At 36.4% G+C, this 12,555-nt stretch overlaps 1 protein-coding gene across 16 annotated transcripts in view; it reads right to left on the minus strand.

Annotated features, from left to right (window-relative positions):
• CEP112 (centrosomal protein 112) overlaps positions 1-12,555 on the minus strand; it is a 556,597-nt gene that overhangs the window by 527,449 nt on the left and 16,593 nt on the right. For all 16 annotated transcript variants that reach the window (XR_007065281.1, XR_007065280.1, XR_007065282.1 and 13 more), the window contains exon 4: positions 12,059-12,231. Coding sequence is in view for 13 of the 16 variants with exons in the window: in NM_001353128.2 (NP_001340057.1) it covers positions 12,059-12,231 (173 nt within the window). In the remaining 3 variants the exon portion in view is untranslated. The remainder of the gene's footprint in view (positions 1-12,058; positions 12,232-12,555) is intronic.

The following is a 12,555-nucleotide window of genomic DNA, read 5'->3' on the forward strand; positions in this document are numbered from 1 at the left end:
AAGGAGCAAGTCTCAAAATAATATATACAGTATGATTCCACTTACATGAAATTCAAAATAGAGAGGTAAATAACTGATTAACACAAAATACAGGACAGTAATTTCCTCTCAAGCAAAGGGAAGAGGCAATCGGAGAAGGGTACCCAGCGGTCTTCTGGAGAACTGTAATATACTATTTATTGGCTAGGTTGAAAGTATAGAAATGCTTATCTTCTAGTGGCTCTTTAAAGTGTACCTATGCACTGTACATGTTTTTTGCATGCATGCTATGTTTCACAGCTGTAAAATATTTTAAGAGTAATACAACTACTGAATTACAAATTATCAGAAAACCAAAATGAGAACTTCTGATTTTCTGTCTTTTCATTTATCTGAGCAGCAGGTAATATTGTTATATACCATCTGCAGAACAGTCTTCTTTGGGTATATTACTAAATATACTTATGAAACATAAAAATAAATAACAATTAATAATCCAGTAAAGTATCAAATAATGCTGAAAATTAAAAAATGAAAATAACTTCCAAAAATCCACAACATACTTATTTTAATTTTTCAAAAAGAACTTTATTAGAAAGAAAAAGAAAACTAAATGAAAAAAAATGAGATGCTTAACAAAACTAGAAAAAGGTGAGCACAGATCCATAAACACTTTAAGACTTCGTATTTCCAACTACTTACTTTAAAATGGCACACTTGATTTTAAAACTTAAAAATAAAAACAAATTTAAAAATCGTACATTTAAATCATTGTTTATTAATATATCTCTGACTTAGAACACTCAATATTTAAATTTCATTAAAATTAAATGTTAAAATATAAGCTGTTATCCATTTTTGTTTATTAAAAAGGACAACCCAAACTGTTCAATATTACCTGACAAACAGAAACTTGTGAAATTAAAAGATGTCATTACAAAGCCTCACTCATTAAAAGAAAGAAAAAGAGAAATGTGACTAAATTGTCAGAAAGCTGACTTACTGGGGGAGAAAAAAGCCTAAATGGCCCAAGGACCATTATTTTCAAAGCTGCTCCATCCCAGTTACAAATAGTTGCCACTTGGCCTCATCTTAGTAAATACCTAAGAGTGACATTTAATTAGCACATTAATGTTGAAAATTAATGAGTAGCTAAGAGGTTTTATATGTGTGAAATGTTGTATTTTATTGTGTACTCTAACAAGCAGTTTTCACTTCTCATTTATGTAGCAGTCCTATTTCTAGAGTACAAGGTTAAGTGTCTATCAGCAAGTGTCCATTGTATAAAAGATTGTCAAATTAGTCAGATTTGGCCAGGCACAGTGGCTCACGCCTGTAATCCCAGCACTTTGGGAGGCCAAGGCGGGAGGACCATTTGAGGTCAAGAGTTGGAGCCCACCCTGGCCAACATAGCAAGACCCCGTCTCTACCAAAAATACAAAAATTAGCCAGGCGTGGTGGCGGGCACCTGTAATCCCAGCTACTCGGGAGGCTGGGGCAGGAGAATCACTGAACCCAGGAGGCAGAGGTTGCAGTGAGGGGAGATCGCGCCACTGCACTCCAGCCTGGGCGACAGTGCGAAACTCTATCTCAAAAAAAAAAAAAAAAAAATGGCCAGCATGGTAGCTCATGCCTGTAATCCCAGCACTTTGGGAGGCCGAGGCATATGGATCACAACGTCAGGCATTCAAGACCAGCCTGGCCAAGATGGTAAAGCCCCGTCTCTACTAAAAATACAAAAATTAGTTGGGCGTGGTGGCAGGCGCCCGTAATCCCAGCTATTCAGGAGGCTGAGGCAGAGAATTGCTTGAACACAGAAGGCAGAGGTTGTGGTGAGCCGAGATCGTGCCATTGCACTCCAGCCTGGGCAACAAAGTGAAACTCCATCTCAAAAAAAATATATATATATATACACACATATATGTGTGTGTGTGTGTGTGTGTGTGTGTGTGTGTGTATATTTATTTATAAACAGTTTCTTTTTTGTTAGTAGGAGCTCCTCTGACAGCAGAAATTGACCAAGAGCAACTAGATGTTGATCATGGGTGATCATCACCAAAAAAGGGAGCTGCCCGTGAAATGCAAGTAAGCACAGAAGAAAGGTCTCCCATGTGGCAGAGCCAGTTTCTATGCACCAGCACCCAAGCCCTAGTCCCCATTCCTACCCCACATCCCCACCGAGACAGAGAACAGGCCACCAGCTCTCCATCTGGTCAGTCAGGTTTTGCAATGGCCAAGCAGAAGATTCGGATCTGGTACTGTTCTGCCCAACACAGTAGCCCCTAATCACATGTGGCTATTTAAGTTAATTAAAATTAGAAATTCAGTTTTTCAATCACACCAGCCACATTTCAAGTGTTCAATAGTCACGTTTACTGGTGGCGACTGTATTGGACAGTGCCGCCTATAGAACATTACCATCAGAAAGTTCTATTGAACAGTACTGCTGTAGAACACATATCTGCCCAAACATCAGGGTTATTCACAAATAAAATGAATGTACTTTTGGCAGGTAATATTTAAGAAGGTTTTACTAAGAAGGAAAGGTATTGATTGGCTCCTTGCTAAATTATCCAACAATTTCAGGAGGAGCAATTTATAATGTTATATAGTATCATTTACATATAAAAGTGGAGTTTAACAAAGTAAAAAGATTCTTTTGCATGCCCAGACTAAAAAATTAAATCAATATTTTTAAAGTGAAAAATGTTTGCTCACATAGATTAACTTCTTCAACCACAAGTGGGTTTTCATTATACTTGATCACCATCTGCTGGCCATGTTATTAAACTGCACACACAAATGAAATGCTAGCTATATTGGGGTAAGACATACAGAATCCCAGCTTTTTGCCACAATGCATTCCTGGAAAACCATATCATAAAGAGGATCATTATAAAGCAAGTCACATTTTCCATAAGGGCAGGACCATAATTAGAATCTTCATTCCAAACTAAAATCTAGCATCAAATAACCCATGGCAAAATCTCATTAAAGCAAAGATGTAAAAACTATAGTCCTCTATAATTATTTAAAATAGGATAATTATTCTCCAAGTTCTTTCTTACAGGTATGAACACATGTATTATTTAGATGACCCAACATGAGTTAAAAGATAAATATAATTTATATAAAATTAGCCTAAATCTGATATGGTAAAAATAGTAGGTAGTTAATAATAATTATTTGCACTCTCCTAGAAATCCTAAGCAATCTGGTGTAGGCTCCTAATAAAATGGCACCTAATTAAATGCCTTCTTTTTCATCAATAAATTCCTCTCAAATAAGCAGAAGCAACGTGTTTCTTCCATTGTAAAGCAGTGTTTAAAGGTCAGGGTTTATTTAACATTACTCCTCTTCACCCTACCCTAACTTTTAATCAAAGTTTTCAGTAAAAATAATAAGTGCTATTAAATCATTTTTTTACATCTTTCCCTATCCCAGAACCTCACTGCACTTTGGTGATAAGCTACCAGACCACGTATACTTCACTGAAAAGACATAAAATTACTACAAGCCATTAACAAGAAGCTTCAAAACATTTTTCACAGAATTGTAAAGCAAGAATACAACCTATTACTTTTGTGTTCTTTGAGATAAAGCATGAAGAATATATAGATGATGTGAACTAAAATCAAAATATTAGTTACCAGCCGAGCACGGTGGCTCACACCTGTAATCCCAGCACTTTGGGAGGCCGAGGGAGGGGGATCACCTGAGGTCAGGAGTTCGAGACCAGCCTGGCCAGCACGATGAAACCTCGTGTCTACTAAAAATAAAAATAAAAAAATTAGCCAGGCGTGGTGGCACACGCCTGTAATCCCAGCTACTCAGGAGGCTGAGGCAGAAGAATCGCTTGAACCCGGGAGGCAGAGGTTGCAGTGAGCCGAGATCGTGCCACTGCACTCCAGCCTGGGTGACAGAGCAAGACTCCATCTCAAAAAAAAAAAAAAAAAAACACACAGTTACTTAGGCAGCTTCAAATATATGGCGTGAAAAAATGTAAACAATGAGGCCAGCCACTGTGTGTTCCTTCTATCCTTGAAAAAGAGGCCTATTACATTGTTTAAAGATTCCTATAAAGCCTCTTTTAAAATAGAATTACCATTCTTTATTTTGATATTGTGCAGGATTCATACTTACAATCATAACCTTTCTGCAGAGTCATAATTTATTTTTCTCAGGGAATACAAAATGACTTTTAGTAACTGAAAATAATTAATGACCAACAGACTTTAAGATAATACCCTTTGGGAGGATTAGTAATTAGGGAAGCAAAAGCATGGTCAAACAATCTAACAAGCAAGGCCCTGATGAACTATTACAATAATGATCACCATACCAGTGATGATGGTGGTAGCCGCAGCTAACACTTAACAGGCCCTCTGTCAAGGGCTCTACACGTCTTATTTCACTTTGTCCTTACAACTCCATTTGCAAATGGAGATAGTGGTAGTACTAACCCCGAAGTTAGTACTACCACTATCTCCATTTACGAGTGATGAAACTGGGGTTTAGAGAAATTAAGTAACTTGCCTGAGGACAGATGGTTGCCAAGTGTCAGAAGTGGAATGTGAACAAAGGCAAACTGCTTTCTTTCAGCTCAACCTAGAAATAACCAAAAACAAAGGTATAGCTGCCCAGGATTGCTGACGCAGCACAAGTGGAAAAAAACAGATAAAACTGAAATTTCCATATTTGCTGCATAAAGTACTTATGCCTATATGATACACTAGAAAGAACATGGGTGTGAAATCATAAGGCCCTGCATTCCAATATTGGATCCATCACTGGAAAAGTCACTGGACTTTCCTGAAGCTGTTATCTTGTCTATAAATACAAAAGGGCAATGATGTCAGCCTCACTGGACTATAGAGAGGATTCAATCTGATGACTTGGAAAAGATTTCTAGAACAGTACCTAGCATGCAGTAGGAGATCCATAAATGGTATGACTTGCCTCACTTGGCCTCTGCTTTCACAAATTAGAAATACAAGTGGAATCCACAAACATTTATTTACTAGAAAATTTTTTATTTTTATGTTTAAATGTATATATATCTGTTATACAAATTTATTAATTTGCAATGTGTATGCACAAACATTTTAACAAGATGATATTTCAGAAGGCAACTGAACAGTATCTATCAAAATAAGAGTGTGATTATTAGAAATACCATAGACACATTTTTTTTACAAGAACGTTTTTAAATGTACACTCCAAACTAGTCCAAATCCCTAAAGCTAACCACCTTTAACAGTTTCATGTGTGGTACCCAGAAAGATTCCCTGCACACGAACACATATGTATCCACAGAGCCTCTAAAACACATATACACAAACACAAACGGAAGCTTCCTATACTTTATGTACTTCTTTTTAACTTTATCCTATTAGATCTTGCCATAATAACCTATATATATGTGTGTGTATATATATGTGTATATGTGTGTGTGTGTGTATATATATGTATATATATGTGTGTGTATATATGTATATGTGTGTGTATATATGTATATATGTGTGTGTGTATATATATGTATATATGTGTGTGTATATATATGTATATATGTGTGTGTGTGTGTATATATATATATATTTTTAACCATTGCACAAGATGTTGAACCAACTAATAACTCCACCAACAAAGCAATTTCTCACCTAGGAGTCCATAATAGCCCAAAACAGATGCAGGCATATAATAATCCTTCTTGATATTCTAACTGATAATTTGGCATCTTGAAATCATGGACCAAACTAACAGCCAAAGTTGTCCACATCCTTACCATTCCTGTCTTTTTGTGGGCACTTGGAAATTATATTACAAACCCTCCAACTACAAACCCCAACATCGGTATTTCACTTTCTGTCCAATAGGGAACATCCCACCACTATATAAAAAGGCTCTCACCCATGCTTCTCCTTGCTACTTCTGCCTCCTGACCAACCCTTGTGCTTCTCCACATGGCCTGCATGGTGTGGCATGCCTCCCTCCTCTTGGAAACTGTGAGAAATAAACTCTTCTTTCAAAGGCAACTTGTCTCTATGTCTGTCATCGTATAATGTCTGATTAAAACAAACCCTGGGTGCATTTTTAAATAAGGTGCCTGATGATGGATTACTAGGATGTAAACTCAGGCATTCTTTATAACAATAAAAAATTAAAAGCAGAAGAGACAGATTAAATTATAGTATATCCACATTATGGATTATCTGTAATTTAGAAGTCCACATGATACAGGTTTAAGACATAGCTGAGTAAAAAAAAGAGCAAGTCTCAGAACAGTATGTACATTATGAGCCAATTTTTAATTTCTTCTTTTTTTTTTTTTTTTTTTGAGACAGAGTCTCACTCTGTCACCCAGGCTGGAATGCAGTGGTGCAATCTCAGCTCACTACATCCTCTGGCTCCTGGGTTCAAGCGATTCTCCTGCCTCGGCCTCCCGAGTAGCTGGGACTACAGGCACCCACCACCATGCCCAGCTAATTTTTTTGTATTTTTAGTAGAGACGGGGTTTCACCATATTGGCCAAGCTGGTATCGAACTCCTGACCTTGTGATCCGCCCGCCCTGGCCTCCCAAAGAGCTGGGATTACAGGCATAAGCCACCGCACCCGGCCTGTAATTTCTTAATTATATAGGTGTGGATGTCTATTGTAAAATGATATGCACAAAATTGTTAATGGTGATTACCACTCCAAAGTGGGATAAAGAGGACACAGAAGGATTGTGACTTTTTACTCTAAATATTTCTATATTGAGGTTTTTATAAACATGTATTATATATATAGATTGCATACTTTTCCAAAATGAGGATAAAGACTGTACTAGTCATCTATTGCTTTATAACAAATTATTACAAATTTAACAGCTTTAAACAACACACATAAATGTTCTCATGTTTCTGCAGGTCAGAAGTCCAGGCACAGCTGAACTGGGTCTTCTGTTTAGGGCCACAAAAGGCTGCAATCATGATTGGACCAGACCTGGGTTCTCATCTAGAGGCTCAACTAGGGAAGGATTCACTTCCCGACTTGTGTGGATGTCAGCAGCATTCCGTTCCTTATGGCTATCTGATTCATGTATGATTTGTGGCAGCTGCATTTTCCAAAACCAGCAAACGGAATGACAGCAAGTCTACTGGCAAGATGAAGTAATGTAATCCTGGGAATAATATCCCATTACCATTGCCATAATCTATTGGTTAGAAGCAAGTCACAGGACCTGCCCACACTCAAGGGGAGGGGATTATATAAGGGTATGAACACCAGAAGGAGGATCATGAAGACCACCAACAAGACAATTAAGGTCTTTATCAGACCTCCATGGTAAGTATCTGAAGGCTGATCAGAAAGATAATATATATTGATATAGCTCATGATTGTAGATCTAAATGAAATTAACCAAACTATACATGCATGAGATCTAAGTCTATGGTCTCCTTAGTAACATTTTCTAAAGTCATGCTCCAAACTCAAATATAACTAAAATATTTCATTGTCAAGAAAATAGGCAGATAGGCCAGGCATGGTGGCTCATGCCTGTAATCCCAGCACTTTGAGAGGCCAAGGTGGGCATATCACTTAAGGTCAGGAATTCGAGACCAGCCTGGCCAACATGGTGAAACCATGTCTCTACCAAACACAAAAATTAGCCAGGCATGGTGGTACGCACCTGTAATCCCAGCTACTCTGGAGGCTGAGGCAGAAGAATCGCTTGAACCTGGGAGGCAGAGGTTGCAGTGAGCCAAGACTGTGCCACTGTACTCTAGCCTGGGTGACAGAGTAAGACTCTATCTCAAAAAGAAAAAAAAAAGAAAAAGAAAATAGGCAGATATTTGACATAAAAATGCAGTAACAGATATATAATAGCAATGCAATGTGGAACAGTAGTTTTTCTTATAGAAAATATGGGCAATAAGATTATCTTAAACCAAGAAATATGAAAAATGAAAGCAAAGAAGAGAACCAGGACAGGACTACTAGCTAAGTGTTGAAGCTGTTTGGTGTGAAATGCTAAGTACACTAGTATATAATGTATACTTGGTGGAAAAAATAAAGCGTGAGAATAAGCCAGATGGAGTATGACCTCACCATACTTCTAACAAGTTTGGAACAAGACTATATACCATATCCTACAGGAAGAATAAAAGTAAAGGAAAGGTGCCATCTCTACTGAATAGAGAGTCCTAACAAAAAGGCTTCAAAAGGACTCTGCATCTTTAATAATATAAAAAGGCTAGGACACAAACAGCATCATCTAAAATGCCATTAGAAATACTTCACATACAAAAAGGTCTAAGTAAAGCAGGATTTTATAAAGTGATCAAAAAAGAAACACTAAGGGGGAAAAATCTTTTAAGATTAAAGAGGTTTTTCAAAGGACAAGTTGAAGTGGCTGTAAAATTTATGAGGCAGCATTAAACTTCAGTTCTAAGTAACAATAAATTATTCACCATAAAAACATACATGTGTCAAATATTATAAGCCTCTTAAACTTTTTAAAACAATTTCTTGCAGAACTGATTAGATATATTAAGTCAAGATTAGCAGATACTAACTTTTTCATTAGCATACTATGATCACTCAGAGTAAAGGAGGAAATTTAGAAAAGAAATAAGACAGAACCATCAATAGTCGATTCACCACCAAATGTGATCTGATGTCACACATGATACATATTTCACCTTAAGATTAGTTTCCTTGGCTTTAGCTAAAGTAAATGTTAGTTTTATTTTTAAATGTCTTCATGTATGTAAAAACTACAAATATCTGTTAACTAATGTAAATCAAATTAAAATTGTAAAAATAATCAAGTTAAAACTATTAAATTAAAAGAAACATAAGATACCCTGAGATATTTTGTTTTGGCAGCCCTAATTGACCTTAGTGATTCTGACATTTGACAGAGGATATTTTAAGCATGTCCTTTCCAGCTCCTTCATTGTCATTCCTCACAGTGTGTGAAGGGAATCGCTATAAACTACATCTAAGCTTCCCTCTATATTTTCTAAAATTTATGCTTCCCTCAACGTTTTCTGAAATGTTAAAAAGAAAAAAAAATCCTTTTAGGCCATTTCCTCTGTCACAATATACCCGTTTCAAAGGGATTTTGTACAGATTAAATTAAATATGTGGCAGTGTCTAACACAATCTACTTGTTCATGAATGCATTCACTGTTGAATATAGATACTTACAGAATTCCTAACACGTTCCTTCCCAGTGCTAGGGGCTGGAAATATAGCAAATACAGCAAACAGCAAAAACACAAGTTCCTACCTCATGAAATTTACAATCTAGCACACAGGACAGATAGTAAGCCTCTACACATGGGATGAAGGCAGCAAAGAAACACAGAGTACTAAAGGAGTAAATGGCGGGGTCGCCTAAACTGCCCTGGGATATCAGATAAGGCTTTTTTCACGTTGCAATCTCTGAAGGATGGGTAGGACTCACCAGAGTGCCTGCTTTTCCCATTACTTATTATATAACTGACAACGAATGCCTCATACTCTAGCAATCCTTTTGCATTAAAACACCTTTAATAATAGGTGACCAACAAAGAGAATTAAGTTATTTTTTACAATTGTGGGGATTTTACTATGGTTCCATTTCTCAAAAAAGTCAATGGCTAATAGTTGAAGGATATTCTCATTGTATTTTCTCAAACTTTATCCTGTATTCCAAAGAAGAAAAAAATCTATTCACCCGGACTCCCTGGAAATCTCAAGTCTATTTCCTACCCTGAACCCTTCTCTTATACACACCTGAATCCTTGCAAATACTTCCATGACTAAGCATAGCCACTGCACTGAAACTATCCATGTGCTCATCTTTCTCCCCCACTCATCTAAAACAATGGTTATAAATCAAAAGTCTGGAGGACTTAACAGATGAGTGATTATACTACCAGATATAAGGATATCCTTCACTTCTACAAAGACATAGTGTCTGTCTCTCCCCTTCTGTTTTTTGTTCACAGATGAGGTCTCACCCTATTGCTCACGCTGGCCTCACACTCCTGGGCCCAAGCTAACCTCCTGCTCCCACCTCTTGAATAGCTAGGACCACAGACGCACAGGCTGTGCCCAATCCTCTCCCCTTCTTAAATCACATGATCCCTCTTTTCTACCTTTCTTCTTTCACTTGATAGAACATAAAAATAGAAAAACAAATACTTCATTTTCCTCTTAACCCTACTTAAAGGGGAAAAAAAACCTCAAGCTCAATAACAGATGCAATAGACATCAAATTTGGTGTCAGGAATTAGAAGGAAATCATGAAGGCATATGCTAAGGGGGGTAACCAAGCACTACTTAGCTCCAACATATGGCTGTCTCTTAGAAAGATTTCTAGGTGTCCAGTTTTAAAGAGAAGCCAGAAAGTTGGGCTTTTATATGAAATTCCCCAAATGTTAATTTTGACAACTCATTTAAAATTGTTAAAGACATTGTTTAAGTCCAACCAAGCAAATCTACCCACACGATTCATTCAGTCCAGGAAGATCACATATTTTTAAACTATGCTCTAAGCTCTAAGATACAGGAAACTACTTTAGTTCACCTTTATACTGTAAACTCCACATTCATTACATCTAGAAAGAAACCCAGAATTTAGCTGGACTCTTAGCAGATATTTTGGCAAACAACTGATGTATTTTGCAGCTAAACTAAGAATCGTATTTTTCTTTGTATACAGACCACAATCTCTTTATACCTCCATATAAAAAGATTGCTTCAAAGGCTACAAAAATTCTACAATTACACCTCTTCTAATTGTAATTCTCCTATGAATGTAAAAATAAGTATTTTAACACCACACTTCCTACAGACTCATCTATTCATTTCTTTTTACTCTTCTGAATATGCCCTTAATTATTTCACCTCTTCCTTTTTGCCTCCCCATTCTGTTTCTCCTTTCTACTGAAATAATTTTATATGGACTGGATCTCTCACTTTTATTTATCTTTTTCTTTTCTTTTTTTTGAGACAGACTCGCCCTATCGCCCAGGCTGGAGTGCAGTAGTGGAATCTCGGCTCACTGCAAGCTCCGCCTCCTGGGTTCATGCCATTCTCCTGCCTCAGCCTCCTGAGTAGCTGGGACTACAGGCACCCGCCACCACGCCTGGCTAATTTTTTGTATTTTTAGTAGAGGTGGGGTTTCACCATGTTAGCCAGGATGGTCTCGATCTCCTGACCTCGTGATCCGCCCGCCTCAGCCTCCCAAAGTGCTGGGATGACAGGCGTGAGCCACCATGCCCGGCCTGTTTATCTTTTTCGACCATAATATCTCAGGTCTGAAAAACATATAAACAGACTACATCAACTGTGGAGACATTTCAAATTACTAATAACATTTCTATATCTGTTTAAGGAATAAACCAAAAAAATTATAGTGGACAAGAAAGATTATACTGTTAACAGAAACAGATTTCTAAAATTAAAATTACCAAGAGAATGGTGAGGAAGGAATTATAAAGTATGGTACATGGTAATTGACACTGTCCTATATTTTACTAAAACATTTCAAGGAATAAGGCCAAACAGAAAAGTAAAAATTTGATAAAAGTCCAAATTTAAATCTATCCCTTCCCTAAAGCCAAAAACTATGCTACCACAATAATGGCCTTTTTGAACATTTCAAAAATTTGGAAATTTATTTTTATTTGCACTAAAAAAACCTATTTAAGTTTAATACTCTAGTAAGAAAGCACAGTCTAATGGGGTTTACGCTTACATTCATTATATCATTAAGTGAAAACAAATATTGTTCAAGGTGGATTTGCAGGATATTTTGTTCAAGTTATTGATAATGCTTTTAATGTATGCTTGTCATAAAGGAAAATACATAATTGTGTCATTTAAAGATGCTCAGGGACCACTTGTCAAGCAATCAAAAATATATATGAAGTTAACAGGTATCTATTAAATGGCTAAAAATATAAAATAATCTTGAATGTGCAGTTAAGGGAAAAGTAAACTACTTCCATTATAAAAAAAAGGAAAAACAGAATGTATAAATCAGTTCCAAAGACAGACTAAATGATGAAACACATTCAAAATCCCATTCTCTTTACATACCTGTAGACATCAGTTGGCGACTGTACTAAAGTGTTATCTTCTCCAGAAGAGAGTTTCCATGATTCATTTAATTTGTGTTCACTTGTCTCCAGCTCACCCAGTACCCAGGCTGGTAATCCCTCTGGGCTTGAACCTTTTGCTCGTGCTGGATTTGGTTCATCAAAATAGATGGACTGATTTTTTAAAATTAGAAAAATTATTCTTTCAAAATGTACTATAATAAACCACTAAAATTTCCATCAAGTTTCAAGTTTGAAAACAGCCTTTCAAATACTCAAATTCAATTACATTCAAACATTTAAAAAATTAAATGTACATTGAATTATGAGATATTAAAATACATTAAGTGATAACATATTTACATTTTAGTTGCACTCTACTGTCTAAGAAATACAATAAACAGAAGTACATAACAGATAAATCTGATAGTAATGTTTATATTACTAAAGGAATATTAGTTAAATATGAAAAGTTAAATACAAAGTTTTTAATTATGT

Source organism: Homo sapiens, chromosome 17, assembly GCF_000001405.40.
Source record: "Homo sapiens chromosome 17, GRCh38.p14 Primary Assembly".
NCBI classification, from domain to species: Eukaryota; Metazoa; Chordata; class Mammalia; order Primates; family Hominidae; genus Homo; species Homo sapiens.